Raw genomic sequence first — 22,176 nt, 5'->3', positions numbered from 1 at the left:
AAAATGAAGTAGTGTTGATTTGTAACCCAAAAATAATGTAAAATAAATATCCATACTGATATAAGTAACTGAATAAATGGAAAGAGAAAAAAAAATCCTATAGGAGAATCCTAAATAATTGATGTAGATATTGTACCCTCCAGAAGAGGGAACATAACTCTCCATTCCTTACATGTGGGCTGGGCAGAGTGACTTCCTTCTAAAGAGTAGGAAAGTGGGGAAAGAGTACCTTAACAGTGGAGAAACCAGATAAACACTGCTGAACCAGGTGATCAAGGTCAACGTAAAAGTGATAAATCATGTTGGTAACATGTGCCTTTGATATGATGTCATTAGAATGGCACTTTACCTGAGGTCCTCTTCCCAAAAACCCAAAACCCCAGGCTAATCATGAAACAAAACATCAGACTAATTCCCATAAAGGGGCTTCCTACAAAATACCCAGCCAGTGCTACTCAAAACTGTCAAGATCATTAAAACCAAGAAAAGTCTGAGAAACTGTCACAGCCAAGAGGAATCTGAGGAGGCACCACAAGTCAATGTACTGTGGTACCCTGGATGAGATCCTCAAATAGAAATAGACATCAGGTAGAAACTATCGACTTTAGTACATAATAATGTATCAATATTGGTTCATTGATTATAACAAATAGAGCACACAAATGTAAAATGTTAATAATACAGAACATTATGTATATATGGAGGGCACATGGGAACTCTCTGTGCTATCTGCTCAAATTTTCCTTAAATCTAAAACTATTCTAAAAAATAAAGTCTACTAAATTTTAAAAAGTCTAAAAAATGTGACTTAGGAAACTACCATTAGCAGGCACTTGGTCAGAAACTAGGGTAAAACTCCTGCTCCAGAACCTTCCTCCCTGGGAAAGTGCAAGAGGCAGGCACTTTTCTCCTTACTGGGACAAGGCCAACATGTGGTGAGCCTCAGGGACCTGCTCACTTTTACCCAGTGAGCCTGTAAGCAGGATCAAGCCTTCCTTGTGCCCATCCAGACAGCTATGTGTGTTACCAAACTGAACTGGGTCTGTTTGACTGCATGCAATGAAAAGCCAAACATGGCTGGGCGTGGTAGCTCACGCCTGTAATCCCAGCACTTTGGCAGGCCAAGGTGAGAGAACTGACCAAGGTGGAGTTCAAGACCAGCCTGGGCAACATAGTGAGACTCTGTCTTCCCAAAAGAATTTTTTAAAATTAGCCAGGCCCAGTGGCATGCACCTGTAGTCCCAGCTACTTGGGAGGCTGAGGCAGGAGGATTGCTTGAGCCCCAGAGTTCAAGACTACAGTGAGCCGTGATCGTGCCACTGCCTAGGTTACAGAGCAAGACCCTGTATTTAAAAAAAAAAAAAAAAATCCAAACACCAAAGCACTGGGTTTTTGTAGAAAGAAAAGTTTATTGCAAGGCTGCAGAGAAAGACAGGAGCCTGGCTCAAATCTGTCTCCTGGAGCTGGGGGCTGGGGCAGGTTTTACAGGCAGAAGGTAATGAGGCATGATCTTGGATCTTGCAATGAGGTGATGCCAGGAAGTGTAATCTAACTGGATCTTGCCATGGGATGATCTTTCCAGGGCTCAATCTGATTGGATCATGCCATGTGGTGTCCACTGTTATTTCAGTCCCCGTTCCTTGGTCTGAGCACTTAGATTCCATCAGCGTTGCATTTGGTCCATTTGGGTTTGCTTAGGTTACCTGCAACATGGAGGTAACTGAAATGTAACCATTTTATAACACAAAGTTGAACCAGATTGGGCTGGTTTTGCAGTTATGCATGTAGAACCACCTAGCTGATGGCTCCCTTGGCTTATCTAACACAACATAGCCTCAGCTACACAACAGCAGATTGGGCGGGATGGCAGAAGGTAAGAGAGTGTGGGACCACAGTCAGACTGATTTCCACTGTTGGATTACATCAACAAGAAGCCTCAGTTTCAACCTGTCATTAACATCCCTTTAAACTTCCTGATTTCTCTTTTTAACAAGAAAGAACACATCTCAGACTCAGACCTTTCTATAGGCAACAACATTCAGCACAAATTTAATAGTATTTTTTGTTTTTATTCTGACAGTTACATTCTATATGTGAAAATATGCTAGCATTCAATTTACAATAGTAATAGAGTTATTTCCTTGGTAAATAAACTAGGTTAAGAATATAAAATAATCACTTTCACCTTTCAGTTTAGGGGAAAAAACTAAGTTTGAAAACAACTTGATGGTGAAGCTGTGGGTAAACATGCACTACTGTATACTGCTGAAGGGAATTAAAGTGGGTATCCCTTTCATTCAGTAATTCGGCAACACCTATCAAATTTGTAAATGCACTCACCTCTTGACCTAGTGATTACATGTTTCTATTTCTGGCAATTTTAGCCTTCAGATATGCTTACTGTACTAGTAAGCTCAGGCTGCCATAACAAAATACCAAAGACTGGGTGACTTAAACAACATAAATTTATTCCTTATAGTTCTGGATGCCAGGAAGTTCAAGATGAAGGTGCTGGCTGATTTGGTTCCTGGTAAAGGATGTCTTCCTGGCTTACAGACAGCCACTTTCTCACTGTGTCCTCACATGGCAGAGAAAGATCTCTGATGTCTCTTGCTTTTCTTATAAGGGTACCAGGCCTAATGGGTCAGGGCCTCACCATTATGCCCTCATTTAACCTTTATTACCTCCTCACGGGCCCTATCTCCCAATAGAGTCATACTGGGAGTTAAGGCTTCAGCGTATTTGATGGGGGAACACAAATACTCAATCTATAACACATGTATAAACAAAATGACATATGTTCAATCTTATAGACTGAAAAATTAAATCATAAAAGAAAACAGCAAGATTATTCACACTTTTATATATATATCATATATAAATCATATTTTATATATATATAATAGCACTATTTGTAATAGCAAAGATGTGCAGGTTAAAGCAACTCCATCTTACATGCTAATCCACCATGTTGACTTCTGATTAATCCCAGTTCCGGGAATACCTCTAAGATTTCTATTTTATCTACTGTTCCTTGTGTAAGAGCATGTACTTACCATAAATTCTGCACTTAGATCAAAACAACCTTGACCATAAATCCTGCCCTTAGGCAGATTCACATAGCATTCTTGCCTTTCCCTAAGGGGCCAACTTCAATTATCCTACACATTCCTTCTCTAGGGTATAGAAGCCCTGGGTCTGGGGGGTAATGGCCCAGGATCTACTATCTCCTGCTGAGATGATGGTTTCTGTTCATAAATCCCTATTAAATGTGAGACACTGGATTTATCAGCCTCTTTGGTCTGTCAGCTTCCTCAGCCTTTAGGAATACATTTACATAAGATCTGCCCACTGTGCAACAAAATAATAGGAACAAACCTAAATATTCATTAATAGAATGTCTGGTTTAAATAAATTCTGGTAGATGCATACAATGAAAACTGTGGCCGAGTACAGTGGCTACACCTGTAATACCAGCACTTTGGGAGGCTGAGGCAGGCGGATTGGTTTGCTTGAACCCAGGAGTTCAAGACCAGCCTGGGCAATGTGGTGAAACCCTGTCTCTAAAAAAAAGAGAAAAAATTAGCCAGGTGTGGTGGCGCATACCTATCCTATAGTCCCAGCTCCTCGGGGGCCGGGCTGAGGTGGGAGGATGGCTTGAGTGTAGGAGGTAGAGGCTGCAGTGCAGTGAGCTGTGATCACACCATGGCACTGTACCCTGGGTGACCAAGTGAGGAGGAAAGAAAGAGAGAAAAAGAGAGAGAGAGAGAGAGAGAGAGGAAAGGAAAGGAAAGGAGAGGAGAGGAAAGGAAAGGAAAGGAAAGGAAAGGAAAGGAAAGGAAAAGAAAAGAAAGGAAAGGAAAGGGGCAAGAGGAAAGAAAGAGAGAGAGGGAGGGAGCAAGGGATGGAGGGAGGGAGGGAGGACAAAACAAAGAAACAAAAGGAAAAAAATTCTATGTAGCTAGTAAAAACCAAGAATGAACATGCTCTGTATGGAATACTATGGAAATATCTCCAAGGTATATGGTTAAGTAAAACAAGTAGGTCCATATCTATTTAACCTGCAAAACTTTTGTGTAAAGAAAGGTGGGAGCTGGAGATAAGAATATTTGCATGGACCAGGAGTAGTGGCCCTTTGGGAGGCCAAGGCAGAAGGATTGCTTGAGTCTAGGAGTTTAAGATCAGCATGGTAACATAGTGAGACCACTTCTCTACAAAAAAATTTTAAAAGTAGCCAGGTATGGTGGTGCACACCTGTAGTCCCAGCTACTCTGGAGGCTGAGCGGGGAGCATCACTTGAGCCCAGGAACTGCAAGCTGTTGCCAACTGGACCTGTTTTCAATAAAACAGCACAGCAGCTTTCCTGCAGCCTCATTTTCATTTAAGATTAAGGTGGGGGAGGAGGAGCACATTGGAGTAGGGGTTTGGTGCTGAGAATATACATACACTTCCAGGACTGGAAGTGGCCACATGGCCAGTATGAAAAGCTTTACAGTCAGAGTCACTCCTCTTTCCCTTGAGGGACCCGAGAGAGGACTGTGAGGCAAAACAGGGTCTAATTCTGTCTGTTTTACAGGACATGGCAGCACATGGACTCTTGTGTGACTGGCCCTACCCCTACATCACAGAGAGCACACAGAAACAGAACAATCCAATCAGACATGCATTTGCCTGTCTATGGTATGTACAAGTGTCAATGCATTATTCATTGATTCCATCGGTTTATCAACTTAATTAATTCTTCCACTTGCTCAGTGCCTAGCCTGTGCCTTTCAGGCCCCGCCAGCACAGGCCCTGTGACCACCCAGAAAAGCACTGACCTCAGCTTAGTCCATGCAGTCAAATATAGTAACAAAAACAGCAGCTAACACTCATGGACTTCTTTCTTGTGTCACGTATTTTGCTAAGCACTCCACTCTTGTCTTATTTAATTTTCAGAGAAATTTCTTGAGATAGATAGTTATTATCTCCATTTTACAAACGGGGAAACTGAGGTTTGGAGAAGTTAAATGTCTTCCCAGAGTCACATAGCTAGGGAGAGCCAGAGTCAAGAAGACCGAGGTAGTCTGGCTCAAGCCCACCCTCTGAACTGGTCCCCTCTACTGCCTTATTAGCTTCTGACGGCTATGACAGCTTAGCTGGTGACCCTTGCTCATGTTCATGGCAGGATGATCCAGTGAAAATCCTCCATTGGACTCAGGGCTGTCACTCATAAAGACCTGTCCTCAGGGGCTGCACACCTCCATTCTGACTCTGCACAAGTCCCCCAGGAATCTTCCATGCTGTGCAGCTTGCACTAATTCACCCCTGCACAGCTTCTCCTTTGAGTATCATAGACACCCTCAGAGGTGGACAGGGTGGGCCTTTCTATAGCCACTCAACAAATGGGGGAACAAATGGGCCTAACAGGGGTAAAGAGACTTGTCAAGGTCACTGCACGTGTTTGGTGGAGCTGGGATGCTAGCCCAGCTTTCTAAAGCCAAAGCCATCTTCTATTGCTGGTACCACAACAAAGAACTAACACAGAAAGTACGTAACAAAGAAAAGGAAGGAGACTCTCTAGGGTCTTTGGTTTTTTTCCTCCTTTCACCAGAGGTCTGAAAATAGTTCTCTGGAATTCTCCCTGCTATGGTCAGAATGTTTGTGGCCCTGCAAAATTTCTGTGTTGAAATCCTAAACTGCAAGGTGATGGTATTTGGAGGTAGGGACTTCGGGAGGGGAATTAGGTCATGAGAATGGAGCCATCATTAATGGAGTTAGTGCCCTTATAAGAGGCCCTAGAGCCAGGCACAGTGGCTCATGCCTGTAATCCCAACACTTTGGGAGGCCGAGGTGGGCGGATCACGAGGTCAAGAGATCGAGACCATCCTGGCCAACATAGTGAAACCCCCGTCTCTACTAAAAATACAAAAATTAGCTGGGCGTGAGTGGCGCATGCCTGTAGTCCCGGCTACTCAGGAGGCTGAGGCAAGAGAATCGCTTGAATCCAAGAGATGAAGGTTGCAGTGAGCCAAGATCGTGCCATTGCACTCCAGCCTGGCAACAGAGTGAGACTCCATCTCAAAAAACCAAAAAAAAAAAAAAAGAGAAAAAGAGGCCCTAGAGAGCTAGCTGACCATTTCCATCATGTGAGAACATAGCTAGAAGGCACCATCTATGAGCCAGAAAACAGGCCCTCACTAGGCATCAAATCTGCCTTGTTCTTGAACTTCCCAGCCTCCAGAGCTGTAAGAAATACATTTCTGTTGTTTATGAGCACCTAGTTTATGATATTTTGTTATGGCAGCCTGAATGGACTAAGACACTCCCTAATGACAGACAACAGAGAGATTCCTTCCCAGCCAAGACTCTCCTCCTAATCATCTGTTCCTTAGGGTTATACAGCTCCCAAAATTGGCCTTGTGTTCAAAGCAAAAATATGCCCGTGTAACACATAAGCTCCCTAATTTTTTCACTTTGAGAGAGTTCACAGTCCCATTGGGACAGAAAGAACACCAAGCTAAAAGTTAGGCAAGGGGCCAGAGGTGAAGGACAGTTGAGAGGAGATGAAGAGGACTGCAAACCACAAGAAACTTCTTTTTGGTTTTCCTAAAGTTCATCTCATGGGCTATAGACAGCCTGCTGGGTTTAGGGAGTGAGAGGAGGCCTCCATCTTCTGACCCTTCGTTTGGTCTTTTCTGCATTCTCTCCCTCACACTCATCTGGACCACCACAGTGTTAAGGGATGCCAGAATCCAAGGGCGGGGGATGAAGTGATAGGTGTGGGATTCATGGAGCTTTTTCGTAGGAGTGAATTCTCTGCCAGAGGCAGTCTGGGTATAAATGAGGCCAATTGCTCATTCAGAGTTATTAGAGATGATGGAATAGTCCCAAAGACAGTTCTCAACAAAGCCCATCTCAGCATGGCTAGTCTATCAGTCACCTTACGTGACCTTGGGTAGGTTGCCTATCCTCTCCAAATCCAGTTTCCTCAACTGAAAAATGAAGCTAATAAGAACATCTATCCCCATGGTATTGGTAAATCAAATGAGACAGGCTGGGTGCTGTGCCTCACAACTATAGTCCCAGCATTTTGGGAGACCAAGGCAGAAGGATTCCTTGAGGCCAAGAGTTCAAGACCAGCCTGGGCAACATAGCAAGATCCCATCTCTACAAAAATTTAAAATACTAGCCAGGCATGATGTTATGCATCAGTAGTCCTAGCTACTCATGAGGCTGAGTAGAAGGATTGCTTAAGCTCAGGAGTTTGAGGATGCAGTGAGCTATGATTGTGCCACTGCCCTCCAGCCTGAGCAACAGAGGGAGACCCTCTTAAAAAAAAAAAAGATGGAGACCAATCTAAGTTATGTGTAAACTGTAAGCCAACAGAGAGATGTCATTAGTCCTTTATTTATTCATTAATCACCTTTACCTCTAATTGGCTGTTGTACACAAAGTGGGTACCAGATTCTGCCATAAAATTGTTTTATTGGAAGAGATAAAAGGCAACATAATTAAAAAAAAAAAAAAAGAAACATGTTAGCACAAGAAAGCAGTTTTGAAGAGATGGTCCTGAACTGAAGTCAACAGCAGCCTTGCAAAAGAAATGCCAAGTTCTCTAACCTTTACACCACACTTCAAAGGGCATTGGCCTCTGATTCACAGGTAACACAAATATTTTTTACTCCAATGTATTTCTTTGTTCAATAAGCTCAACCCATTTTTCCCTGGGCCCTCTCTACATGCATCAATATTATGGCTGTCTTTTGAGCAGTAACCTTCAAACTTCAAGTATGATCAAAGTATCACAGGCACTTGTTTGAAATGTCAATTTCTGGGTTCCACATCCAGAAAATCTAGGGTAGAACCCACAAGTCTGCATTATGAACAAGCTCCCTGGGAGATTCACCTTTTCTTTAAGACTTATTCTGGTCTTCAAGAAAGACCTATTCTTTGAGACCCTCTGCTTACTTAAGTCCCAAAAGGCATGGACTGTGTCATTTAACTGCCTAGCACATTGCCAATGCCCAACACTCAGAAAAGATGCTCGATAATAAATAAGAAATACTAGGAACCCTAAATACTTGCTTCTACAAAGATGTAAATGTTCGTCTCCAACATCATCATGATGATGACCAGTTGCATAATTCTCACACCTTCTTAAGAATGAAATTCCAGCAACCTCAGCTTTCCCCTGCCAAACTTTTCTGACATTCCCAGGCTAGATTAAGTGACTCTCCTTTGTGGTTCCACAGCCTTCAGCCCATACCAGCACTTACAATATATTCTATGTATTGACTTTACTATTAGTCTCCCCCCACTGGAGGGAAGTTTTCCTCCTTCCTTAAAGATAAGTGCCCCCTTCTCTTGTGTTTCTACCATCTAGACCAGTAATTAGCACCAAACCATCAGATGTTAATGGAATGAAATGCAAAAGGGAATGAAATAGGATGAGATAGGTTGGAAACACTTTAAGAGGTGAGAGGGGAGGTGAACCCTCTGTGATGTTCTGGTATAAGGACATCCTAGGGTGAGCCACATGACAGTGTGATTAATATTCAGTAAGTGGAAGTTTTTATTTTGTCCATGGTTTGGGGATTTTGAGAAATTTTTTCAAGGAGTGGGCATCAATAGATGTTCCTGTTAATGCTGCAGAAGGGTCTTCTAGTTTCGCATACCAATTTTGACATCTTGGGGCAGGTGTTTCAATTGGTTAATGCCAGGGGATAGCTCATACTAAGATCATCTTTGCTTAGATAGCAGATGGTCATAAATTATATTATTCTTCACCAATATCTGTTTACCTCCCTGTAAGAAGATTATGCTTACCCATACTGTTGAACTCCCATAAGCTATGTGGCTTGCTTTGTTCATGAAATGTAGGCAGAAGTGATCTGAGTCACTTCCAAAGGGCTGGCCGTGTACTTCATCTACCTTGGTCCTGAAACAAGGACAGTAATAGGACCTAGTAGAGCCTACAGCTGACCCACAGTGGACATGGAATGTAGGCAGGAAGTGGACATTTGGGAGTTATTACTGAAACATAACCTGGCCTTTCCTGGCTTATGTCCCCTTATTTCCAATCAGTGGAAATGTTCATATACAATTAGTTTGCCTTTGTGACTTTAAGAAACATTACCTCTTAGGGCCTTAGTTTCAATGTCTATGAAGTGAAGACGATAACATAGTGATAAAAAATATCAAACATAAATTGATTGCTTATCATGTGTCTGGCTAAGCATTTTAGAAAAATTATCTCATTTTATCCTTATAACAACCTATGAGGTTGGTATTATTATTATCCTCATTTTATAGACCAGGAAACAGAGGCCTCGAGAGGTTAGGAAACTTACCCAGTGGGTACTAAGAGTACTTAGATACTAAGAATAATTACTGATAGAATACAAATGGCCTGACACCAGAGCCCAGCCTCTTAATCTCCGTGTTGCACCAGGTCATCTCTAAGACCTCATCTGTCTGGGATACACCAAGAATCTGTGATATCACCATGTGGTAACGATTGCTCTAGTCTTCAATTTTTAAACCAAGACCTGTTTTCACCACTGCCCTATTCTTGAGGGGTGAAGACAACTCCTTCCTCAGCCTCTCAAGTAGCTGGGACTACAGGTATGAGCTACTGTGCCTGGCTAAGTTGGACTCTTGAGCTTCATTCCCAAGAGATAGATCATCAAGAGAGGGCCAAGGAGAATGAGAATGTCCCCTTGAAAATATTTTGGGCCTCTGTCTACCAAAAGAAGGGCAATAATATGGAAGGACGCATGAGGGTCTGTTGGCTGCATGGTCTTTGTTGCGTGGTCTACCTGGGCACAGGATATGGGAAGCCTGGGTGTGTTCCACCAATGCTGTTCTATAAAAGGCGTAGGACTTCCATTCCTGGGACCATTATTGTTCCTTGCTCCTGTCTTAGGGGGCTGACGGGCTCCTGTTGTGAGGCTTAGTAGGATAAAATGAACAAAATTCCCTGGGACCATGGCCTGCAAATCTGAGTATAGAGCCACATCATGAGCCCAGCTTTACCTACCTTCCAGCAATATCCAACTCTCCTCCTGTCCACACTACTAGTGTGTACAACCTGTGGATGAGCAAATACAGAAGGAGGGCAGCCGATGCCATCAGCCACTGAGGATGAAAACTCAGCAGCTCCAGCAAAAGGACAGTGTTGAACTGCTGTTGGGATGTATCTGAGAATTTCACTTACCTGCCTTTTCCTCGTCTTCCATTAGCAGAGTTCATGGAGATTTGGTTCCATTTTGGCATCTCTAGAAGAGTAGAGTTGAAGCACAAAAGACACAAGACTGGGGTTTTTTTTAGGGCCCTAGGCAATGACTTGAGTAAGCTCTTGTGTTTTACTACAGGAAAGTGCTCCATCAAGAGCCAATGGTCAACAACATCAGCAGGTCAGAGAGGGTCCTCCTCTGACCACCTCCCCCAGTGCCATCCCTTCAGATGCTCCTGGCTATACCTTCCTTTAGGGCCACTAAATTCTTACTCCAACCCCACAATTTCCTGCAGTACTCCCCACTCCCTGCAGCTGATTTTGGCCCTGACTCATTGGTGCTGACTCAACAAAGAAAAGCAGACCCCTTAGGCAGCTGGACAGTGGACCAGGGCCAGAGCCTGCAGGAGTGGGCGAGAGGGCAGGCAAGGCGAGAATCCATCAATCAGCCTGTCACCAAGTCTTTGCTGAGCCCCCCCTGAAGACTTGGACCCATGCCGAGCTACGCAGTGGGGGTCCCAGAAAAAGGAGAGAAGACAGGAGTCTTTATTTTGTGGCAACTATGGATGTGGAATTGGAGCTCCTTCAATTTGAGGGTCTCTAAGCACATACAGCCTGGCCCAACCCACCATCACTCACCAGAGGGAGGCTGAGTGCTGCCAGGAAAGGCCAGCCACAGTGGAGCTTAGGGAAGGTTGGGAGGTGGCAGCCAGGAAGGGTTTTGAAGCTGTATTTGCAAAGCTTTTGACATAAAATTCAGATAATGTCAGTTTTTTATAAGAGACCAGGTAGGGGTGGTGGTAAATGGAAATTATGGGGGTATTTTAAAGCCCCCATATCCACATCCTGGATACTGCCATTGCCACCAGCCTCCACATTTCTTTTCCCACAAGCCTGCTGGGTGTGGGGTACCTCCCTTGAGTTAATACATTGTGTTTCTGAAATGTCCCTGCTAAAATGAACCTACTATGTTACTCTGAGAGTGTCTTTCTAACCCCCTTTGCATTTGCAGAGGGGGGAAAACGACCATAGATGTGAGGGCACAGAACAGTGACTTTGGCATGAGGATTCACTTAGAATCCCAGAGCCCTAAGAATTGGAATCCTGACTCAATTATGTACCAGTTGTGTAACTCAACTTGGGGCAGTTCTCTGAGCCTTACTTTCTTCATATTGTGAAGAGGAAGGAATAGAGCAGCACGCTCACAGAGAATTGTGAGGACAGGCATAATTGCTAGCACATCATGGCCACTTCTGTTAGGAAATAATATACAACCATTATTGTAAAGAAGTAAAGATAGAGTGGGGAGAAATAAGCTCATGGTCTGAGAGCACCAGGGAAAATGTCACTCCCTCCGTCTTCTTACCTTGATGGTCAAAACTCATCAAGGGCTCCCTCTGCTGTCCATTCTCTGCACTCATTTTCCTATATAGAAAGTGACACACTCATACTCCTGTTTGGGGCACAGAATGTGCACATGTCCTAATTTAATCAGTGGAATCCTGTTTGTTCTTTATTAACATCATCTTTCAAAAACATTCTTTCCAGGCTGGGCAAAGTGGCTCATGCCCATAATCCCAACACTTTCAGGGACCAAGGTGGAGGATCACCTGAGATCAGGAATTCGAGACCAGACTGGGAAAGAGTAAGACCTTGTCTCTACTAAAAAATAAAAAATTATAAAACAGCCGAGTGTGGTGGTATATGCCTATTGTCTCAGCTACTCAGGAGGGCTGAGGCAGGAGGATCGTTTGAGCCCAGGAAGTTGAGGCTGTGGTGAGCCATGATCACACCGCTTCACTCCAGCCTGGGAAACAGAGCAAGGCTCTGTCTCAAAAAATAAATAAATAAATAAATAAATAAATAAATAAATAAATAAATAAATAAAGTAAAAGACAAAAGAGAAAACATTCTTTCCTTTCCATTCTGTTGTTCTTCCCTTAATTTTATCCCTTTGTCTCATGCCTGGGTTGGCCCTCCCAATCACCAAAATCTGTCGCAATATGCCACTCTGCATCTGTTTCTTATACTCTCTGAGGTTTTTTGTTTGTTTTTGAGACAGAGTCTTGCTCTGTTGTCCAGGCTGGAGTGCAATGGCGTGGTATCGGCTCACTGCAAACTCTGCCTCCCGGGTTCAAGCGATTCTCCTGCCTCAGCTTCCTGAGTAGCTGGGATTACAGGCACGCACCACCACGCCCAGCTAATTTTTGTATTTTTAGTAGAGACGGGGTTTCACCATGTTGATCAGGCTGGTCTCGAACTCCTGACCTTGTGATCCCCCTGCCTCAGCCTCCCAAATTGCTGGGATTACAGGCGTGAGCCACCACACCTGTCCTCTCTGAGGTTTAAGCGAGTAAATGGCAGAGCTGAAGTTGGATAACATAACTTCTAGGTCCAAAGCTCATCCTTTCCCCACATTATTATCCCTCTCTGAAGTGTATAATCTAGACATGACATTTAACTTATCTAAGCTTCTTTTCCTCATCTGTAAAATGGGGGAAACAATAATATTAATCCATGAGTTTGAGGAAAAGAGAAGGGGAGACAGTGCAGGGGGAGACACACTTGCCAACAGAAAGAGTACGATAAATACTAGCTACAGTATTCAGGCATGGTTTGTTCAAGTAACTCAAAGAAGTTCAGTACTGCTGGTGCTTAGAGTGGAAACAGGACCTGACAATAGATGCAGCTGGCAAGGCAAGCAGGGGTCAAGTCATTAAGAGCTTTGTAAAATACGGTCCCACAATACCCAGGGCAGAGCTGTCATGAGGATTAAATGAGTTTATATAGTTCAAGTCCTTGGAATGCAGCCTGGCTCACAGCAAGGTGCATGTGTTAGGTATTCCTGATAAAGCCCTCCCAATGCTAATCATGACTTAGAGACCAAAGAAGAGAAGCATATAAGCAGAACAGCCTTGAGTTGAAAGAATAGTTATTTTGGGGAGAAGTGTGCAAAAGACTTTCAGAAGAACATCAGGAAAGAGAAGAGCCAATCACCCCTATAATATTGGTCTTCACCCTTAACAAATTACATCATTTCATGTGTGAAGGTGTGAAGGTGAGGCATGCACCTTAAGAGTGCCCACTTGACAGAAAGGAATGCCTCTCCTCCTGGCTCCCCTCCAAGTTTCCAAGTTATGCTTCCACTGAGCATCCCATTGGCTCTGCCCTGTGGCAGTGCTGTCAGGGTGTCTCCCTCCATCAGTGTAACCTTTTGACCCACTTGCCAGGGTCTGGGCTCTCACTTAGCTTCCCTCGTCAGTTCATGTCTTCATTGGTCTACTCAACTACAAAGTCCAGTGTTTACGATGGTGTATTTAATACTGTCCTCCTATGCCAGTTTTCCTTTTTAAAGGAAAAAAATTCTTGAAGACCCTGAAAATGAGGCCAGAGACCTAAACACTGTAATTTAAGAAACACCTGATAAAGTCTTAGTCAATGAAATATACTTTAATGATATATTATCACTGAAGTTTTGCTTTTGTATCTGATAATTTTTAATATAATCAACAAAATAAAAACACTAAATTCAACTTTTCTAATGAGCAGATCATAGAAAATATACCCAAGTTCATCTTCATTATGTATTTGTGGGTGGTTTGTCCCAGAAGACCTATACTTATTAACTCCTTTTGGTCTTTTTTTAAAAGCTTGGTCATATTATGTTAATTTAAAAAGAACTTGGTATTTACTAAACTGTAATTTTACACAGGCTCGTATCCATTTTATATATGCCCTCAAGATGGATCTTCCAAACCTTACATTTAATTCTTGCCAGGCTATTTTCCTTCCTCTGGCTATGTTCTATCACCCCCTAGTGTTATATATGATGCTTACAGCCAATACATGTTGACAAATTTCTCCACTTTGTTGAAGGAATGAGTATCTGCAGATAAGTACTTTCTTGGTTTACAGATTAGGTTCCCCAAAAATGTATGAAAATGAACTAAGTTCCAAGGCTAAAGTGCACTATGTAAATCTTCAAAAACTAGAGGACCTATTGACTATACTGTGACACCTACGTCAGTACACAAAACAAATAGTGAATATGGTGATATACATGCAACAGTAACGATTGTATTTCCCTCTTGACATTGTTATGAATAGCCAGGCACGGTAGCTCATGTCTGTAATCCCAGCACTTTGGAAGGCTGAGGCAGGAGGATCGCTTAAGCTCAGGAGTTTGAGACCAGCTTGGGAATCATAGTGAGACTTTGTCTCTACTAAAAATAAAAAAATTAGCCAGGTATGTTGGTGCATGCCTGTAGTCCCAGTTACTCAGAAAGCCAAGGCAGGAGGATCACTTGAGACCAGGAGTTTGAGACTGCAATAAGCCGTGATCATGCCACTGCACTCCAGCCTGGGCAACAGAGCAAAGCCCTGTTTCAAAAACAGAAGAGACATTTTAAGGAATACATCAATGTTTAATGCCAGCTCAGGAAACAAAATGGAACAGGCAGGCTTCAGGAACAGAAAACAAATCACAAAGGTGTTGGTTCTTGTACAGTGTGAAAAGTCTATTTTTTTAAAAAAAGATGAGCATTGGACAGGCGTGGTGGCTCATGCCTGTAATACCAGCACTTTGGGAGGCCAAGGCAGATGGATCACTTGAGGTCAGGAGTTCAAGACCAGCCTGACCAACATGATGAAACCTCATCTCTACTAAAAATACAACAACAAAAAAAAATTAGCTGGGTATAGTGGTGCACGCCTGTAATCTCCTGTAACTGAGAGGCTGAGACAGGAGAATCACTTGAACCCGGGAGGCAAACATTATAGTGAGCCGAGATCATGCCACTGCACTCCAGCCTGGGCGACAGAGCAAGACTCCATCTCAAAAAAAAAAAAAAAAGATGGTTAGCATCTATTACTGCTACCTCTTGAGTGCTGAAACATTTCTTAACATTTTAAGTTTTGCTTGATAGAGATTTCTATTATTTAGAAATTAACAAATTCACGTTTTCCAGCTTATGATGATTCCAACTTGCTGGGTCGTCTTGTTCATTGCCATTGCTTTTTTTTTTTTTTTTTTTTTTTTTTTTTTTTTTTTCAGATAGGATCTGGCTCTGTCGCCCAGGCTGGAGTGCAGTGGTGCAATCTCGGCTCAGCTCACTCCAACCTTTGCCTCATGGGCTCAAGCCATTCTCCCACCTCAGCCTCCCAAGTAGCTGGGACCACAGGCGCATGCCAGCACACCTGGTTAATTTTTCTATTTTTTGTACAGACAGGGTTTCGCCATGTTGCCCAAGCTGGTTTTGAACTCCTGGGCTCAAGCAATCTGCCCACCTCCGCCTCTCAAAGTGCTGGGATTACAGGTGTGAGCCACCATAGCCAGCCCCTTGATTTTCTCTAGTCAGTGTTTCTCTAAGTTCTTCAATTAATTGTTCAATTTGCACCTCAAGAATATTTTCAGAGCCATTGCCACCTACTTATCTAGTGTTTCATATCAATGCCCCAGAATTGCTGAAAAATCATGCACGTTTTCCATATGTTTAACAATATATATGTCCTTCTTTGTCTCTAGTAATGCTTTTTTGCCTTTAAGTCCACATTGTCAGATATTAACACAGCTTTCATTTCATGGATCATTATTTCTTAAATGCCTGTTATATCTTTTTCCATCCTTTTACTTTCACTCTTTCGGTATCTTTATAACTTTGGTGAGTCTGTTTCCTTATATTTTATTTTTATATCTGATTCCTTGTGCTTTAGGTTTTTCTTTAATCCTTATACTTTGGGTATGTAATCCAATTTGACTATATCTTTAATTGACACACTTAGTCTATTTGTATGCAAAGTTATTACTGGCACATTTATATATATAATATGTATATTATATACGTGTGTATATATACATGTGTACACAGGCATATGTTACATACAATATGTAATATTGTAATACACATGTAATATGTACTATATTATATATATTACAAATGTATAAATTTAGATATAAATATATATAAATGTGCCTATATATATATGTGTGTGTGTGTATGTATATACATGTGTGCACAGGTACGTTTAAATCTACCTTACTAGGTACTACTTGTCTTACAAATTCTTTTTCTCTCTCCTCTGTTTTTCAATTCTATTTCCATTGTATTGTTATATATTACTTTCTATTCTTTTCATGATTATCAGAGATTGCAACATATACTAACTTTGTAGTTTGACTTCTTCCAGAACAATGCAAGAACCTTCGAATATTTTAACACTATTTACCCTTTCCCAATTTATATGCTGCTGTAATACATTTTCGTTTCACTCCCCAAAGTTGTTGCTGCTACTATTCATGTGGTCTAAATTCACTTGTATTTACTGACATAGTTCCCGTTTGTTGACTGCCACTCCTTCCTTCAAGTCTCATCCATGGATTATTTGCCTTCTGTGTGATGTGTGGGTGTGCTAGTGATCAATTCCGTCAGTATTTTATTGGTGGTGGTGGCAGAGGTAACTGTCTTTGTTTCACCTTCATATTCTGATGTTATAATTGCTGAGTACAGAACTTGAAGCACTTTCAAAGTATAACTCTATTTTCTTCTAGATTCTATGGTTGTTAAGAAGTTAACTGTTAGTGTTACACCTTTTTTGCTACTAGCTGCTTTTATTATGCTCTTTTTCTCTGGGATTCAGTAATACTATGACATTCTTAGGTGTAACTTTTAAATTTTTATTTTGTGTAAGTTTACAGGGATACTTTAAACTGTGGCTTGGTATCTTTCATTGGTTTTGGGGGAAAAAAAGCCATTATCATCTCTCCTTTCTCCTGTGGGACTCCAATTATATACTATAACTGAGGCCAGGCATGGTGGCTCACACCTGTAATCCCGGCACTTTGGGAGGCTGAGGAGGATCGCTTTAGGCCAGGAATTTGAAACCAGCCTGGGCAATATAGCAAGAAACCAGCCCGGGCAACATGGCAAGATCCAATCTCTACTACTATTACTACTAATAATAATAACAATAAGCCGGGCATAACACACAGTAGCTTCTGGCCTAGCTACTCGGGGGGCTGAGGCCAGAAGACCACTTGAGCCCAGGAGTCCCAGGCTGCATTGAGCTATGATTGTGTCACTGTACTCTTGCCTGGGCAACAGAGGAGACTGTCTCTAAAAAGAAAAGAACTCTTAACTAGCTCCTATGTCTTGTACACGTATTTGTTCTTTTCCTTTTTTGGTGCTTCTTTCTGGATATTTTCTTTTGATATGGCAAGGTATCTGAAGCACAGAGCTGAAATTATTGGATGGTAAAGGTGATAATCTGGAGAGACCACCTTTTCTGCCTGCTGGTTCAGCAGTAGAATGAGCTCAAAGTGATCAGAGAACTGACTCAAGATTTCAATTTAAATGGAACCAAGGTTGAATTCCCTGAGAGAAACATTACTTCCTTAGGAACTAGGACCTCCAAAGTCACCAAACTCAAAAGCAGGTCAAAAGCGGGGGAAATAAAAATGCTTTCAGTGGGTTAACTGGCAGAATTTTCAATGTAGTAAGTTCCACCTCCATCACTTGATTTCTTGACCTATCCATTCTGGCTATGGAAGAGGTAGCACTATATACTGATAGATTTAAGGTATAAACTACATCTTGTAGGACAGTACCTTAAACTCTATATGGTATGGGATATCACACTGATGGATAAGGCATTCTGCAAGCCCATGAATGGTAATGCTGGCAGATACACTGTAGGCAAGAGACAACTCCATACCCATAATACATGTCTATCCCTGGGATGACAAACTGCTGCCCTTTGCATGATGGGAGACATCTAATGTACACTTAGGGAATAGTGTCACATTAGCTGCTCAGCATAGGCCTCTTTTGTTGCAGTTCTATCCACATATCTATGCTTGAAACATCCTTGTGTTCAACCTTGAAGAAGTATCCAGCCTTCCATTCTTGTTCCTTCCAAATCTCTGGCCAGCTTGTACGAACCCATTAGCCATTTCAAGGTAATGTGAGTATCTGGAGACACCACCCTTTTCTGCCTGCTCATCAATCAATATAAGTCTCTACTTCAGACCATCTCTTCTTGCATGCAAAGGGGATACTATCTTAAGTTCTGCCCACTGGGAGGACTTCCCTTTACCACTGTCCTCCCTCTACCTCTGTCCGCTTTCAGCTGATGCCAGTACAGGATGTAGTTCTATCCATGATGCACTTTTCCCTCTTCCATTAGCTGACATAACAAACTCCCCAAGAAGACAACTGATTCCAGGAGAAACAGTGAGGCAGTAGGAGAATACACCTAAATATATTCCATGGGAATCTAAGAGTCCATGGGAATCTAAGCTTCATGCTTAAAACAGCATACTTGTATTTTCTGGATATTCTCTGGTACAATTTTGTATAAACCATTTCCATTTTGGAATGGAATGCTGTTGCACACATCTAATTTTATAATTTTATAGATCAGATAACATCAAGTTTATAATAAACAGATTCAGTTGCAAAGAAACGTGATGTTCCATGCTCAGGTATTCTACCAGGGTCTAGTAGCAAACCAGACCTAATTTTTAAATAGATAACAGATGTCAGCAGAAGAGGTCATTAATTTCAAATCCCTAGTGCACTACAATTTTTCTTTTGCAGCATCATAGGACATCTCTATCTGCCACTAACACCTCGAATCTACTTAGATTTGCTAGGTCATACAGACCAAGTGCCAGAACAACTTGGGACTACAACTTGGATCTGCTGCCAAGTCTGTTTTTTCTCCAGGCTCTACTGAAAACTCTGACAGACTCCACTCAAGTCTTACAGGTTACTCAGTAAATGGGACAGAGAAGCACACTCAATGTGACTTACTTTGCAACCATCCCCCTCAATCCAAACGGACCCAGTAAAGATTATGTCTCTTAGTTGGGAATAGTCTACAGTGCAGCAACTTGTCTATCACTTCAGGTAGGAAATCCCCAAGATAACCTAAACACCATATTCATATCGTACTGGGTATATCATTCTCAACACTTCCTGATCTCTTTAGGTCCACTTGTTACGTCATCAGTGTAATGGATCAGTATCTTCCCTAAGACACCAAAATGATCAAGATCTTTCTGGATTATATTATAATAGTATATGATGCCGGGCACAGTGGCTCATGCCTGTAATCCCAGCACTTTGGGAGGCTGAGGCAGGCAGATCACCTGAGGTCAGGAGTTTGAGACCAGCCTGGTCCACATGGTGAAACCCTGTCTCTACTAAAAATACAAAAAAATTAGTCGGGCATGGTGGTGCATGCCTGTAATCCCAGCTACTCAGGAAGCCGAGGCAATAGAATTGCTTGAACCCAGGAGGCAGAGGTTGCAGAGCCGAGATCGCACCATTGCACTCCAGCCTGGGCACAGAGTGAAACTCTGTCTCAAAAACACAAAAAGGAATTAATACTGGGAATTTTAAAAAAAAACATTTGTTTACCAATTCATTTAAAAATAACAGTAACACCATTACGTTAACATCAATAACATATGAGTTGTATATGAGTATATGAGTTGATAGCCCTGAAGTAAAACAGTGAAAGTATACTGCTGTCCCTGCAAGTGAAGATAAACTAGTTTTGACTACTTTGCAGATAGGGATGAAAGGAAAAAATACATTTGTTAGGTTAATAGGAGCAGTATGTCATGGCCAGAAGATATGTTGATTTCCTCCAATATAGATTTATACCCAGAATCATAGCTGAGGTTAGTTATGATCATAAGATCATTATTCATGAAAATTTCAGATGTTTGGATAAGCCATTTATCTGTGATTCACCCAGGGATTCCTTTTGTTTTACTGTGTGTAGGAGAGGCAACCCTAGAGGTTTGCACTTGATTTTCCAACCCTAACAGCCCTCCCTCCATGGGCCATGGGTCAAATAAAGGAGTTTCACCATTCTGGAAATAGGGTAAAAAACAAAGGATGGAGCCACCATTCCACATTATCCACTGTGAGATATTCAATCCAAGACATCATCTGCCATCTGACCTCCAAAAGCTCCTACTCTGACCACAGTGAGTGGTCTCAGGTCCCCATGGGGAAGAGTTGGGGGGACTTTGCCCCCCAACTTGTATACTTGTGGCTCTGTTGTAGTGTTCTTCCATCAGTTGAGGGACAAAATCCAAGGGGCATTACCTTATAATTAGATGGTTTATAAAAGAGTAAGTAGTACAAATACAACCTAAATGGTAATTCAAGCTTGATGTGAAGAACATTTGCCCTCCTAAAATTATGGATAATCTCTAATTTCCTATTAGAGATTTATCTCTCCTATGTTATCTGTAGTCTTGGTGGGACCGCCAACTAAGGTGCCAAGGGCCAGAAGTATGGCCCCCAACTAGGCCACTGGACTCTTCTGTTCAGGTTTTTGACTTCTGAATAGTGTCAAGACATAAAACAGACCAGAAGCTCAGCTCCCTACTGGGGATTCTTCTTTCACTCCTCCCTTTGATATCTGTGAGAACGTCCTATTTTATTCCCCTTATAAACCTGATTCTTTAGGTTTTTTTCAATCCTGTGAAGCACTCTATTACCCTCCAATAAATACTTTTTCTGCTTTAGTTACCTGCAGTCAGTCTTTATTGCATGCAACCAAACACTCTGGCTGGGAATTGGGGCAGTGTTGTGATCCTGGCAGCAGGAGTCATGAGCTTTTCCCAAAGCTTAATGCTCTGCCTTAGTTTAACTCAGCTGCTGTGTCATTTGATCCAAATTCTCTAAAGATAATTGATTGGTTCCATTTACTCTATCAGTTGTCCATCCCGGGTCCAATCAACTGAGCATATTGAGAGTGTTCAGTTATGAGAAACAAGAGTACCAAAGGCTGTAGATGACAGTAGTTTTTATTTTTTTTTAAGACAGAGTCTCACTCCGTCGCCCAGGCTGCAGTGCAATGAAGCGATCTCAGCTCACTGAAACCTCCACCTCCTGCCTCAGCCTCCTGAGCAGCTGGGATTACAGGCACGTGCCACCACGCCCGGGTAAATATTGTAATTTTTTAGTAGAGACAGGATTTCACCATGTTGGTCAGGCTGGTCACAAACTCCTGACCTCAGGTGATCCACCCGCCTTGGCCTCCCAAAGTGCTGGGATTACAGGTGTGAGCCACCACGCCCAGACATGATTATGATGGAATCTCTAATGCATTCTACATGCCCCTCTTTCCTTACATGCAATTCCAAAGATGCCCCTAAGTATCACATGTGGAACCAAAAAAGCATTCATCCCTTCACTAATCAACCCAAATTCCCAATTAGCTACCATACCAAGATGCGATACCTTTGTAAGCTGCTTCTCAATCAGAGACTGGTAATGACTATCCTCACAATTCTGCAAAATATGGAGAGTTGATTGGCCCAAGGATACGCAAAACTTCATGTATCAAAAGGAGTAGGTAATCTGATCATCAGAAAAGTATCAAGACTAGCTAACAGAAATAGGATGTATGATGTTACTAAACGGAGAACATGAACAAGTCACTAAACATTTACCAGGTAACAGGCAAAATGAGGAGAGACAGTAGTTTACATTCTTGTGACCATAAAATTGAAATGAGCCAAGACAAAAGTTGGAATATGACACAGATGGCTCAACATACCCCTTTCAGTAGTACCAGCAATTGTGCTTCCTCTGAATGCCTAAGACATTATAATAAAAGTTTTACAAATACTTAAAAATAAGTAGGCTGGGGGCAGTGGCTCATGCCTGTAATCTCAGTACTTTAGGAGGCCAAGGTAGGTGTATCACTTGAGCCCAGGAGTTCAAGATCAGCCTGGGCAACCTGGCAAGACCCCATCCCTACAAAAAATACAAAAAAATTAGCTGGGCATGGTGGCACCTGCCTATAGTCTCAGTTACTCAGGAGGCTGAGGTGGGAGGATCGCTCGAGCCTAGGAGGCAGAGGTTGCTGTGAGCCCAGATCATGCCGCTGCACTCCAACCTGGGTGAGTGAGAGCCCATCTAAATTAATCACCAAAA

General features: G+C 42.2%; 1 long non-coding RNA gene across 1 annotated transcript, besides 1 other annotated feature; it reads right to left on the bottom strand.

The window, feature by feature from the left end:
* Nucleotides 1-1,389: 1,389 nt before the first annotated feature.
* Nucleotides 1,390-11,839, bottom strand: LOC101928156 (uncharacterized). The gene is made up of 3 exons (XR_923872.3): nucleotides 11,583-11,839; nucleotides 10,199-10,259; nucleotides 1,390-1,703 (listed from the first exon to the last, which is right to left on the bottom strand). It is a non-coding gene; the product is annotated as an uncharacterized LOC101928156 (long non-coding RNA).
* Nucleotides 4,200-5,092: an enhancer, noted in NCBI's record as "H3K27ac-H3K4me1 hESC enhancer chr2:217390604-217391496 (GRCh37/hg19 assembly coordinates)". NCBI's record gives its function as "activates a minimal SCP1, AML or CMV promoter by ChIP-STARR-seq in naive H9 embryonic stem cells {active_cell/tissue: H9 hESC(naive)}" and the evidence as "EXISTENCE:reporter gene assay evidence [ECO:0000049][PMID:30033119]".
* Nucleotides 11,840-22,176: the final 10,337 nt, after the last annotated feature.

The sequence above is a fragment of the Homo sapiens genome, chromosome 2 (assembly GCF_000001405.40).
Source record: "Homo sapiens chromosome 2, GRCh38.p14 Primary Assembly".
Taxonomy (NCBI): Eukaryota; Metazoa; Chordata; class Mammalia; order Primates; family Hominidae; genus Homo; species Homo sapiens.
The sequence above is the reverse complement of the archived record's forward strand: the minus strand, read 5'-3'. Positions and strand labels throughout refer to the sequence as shown.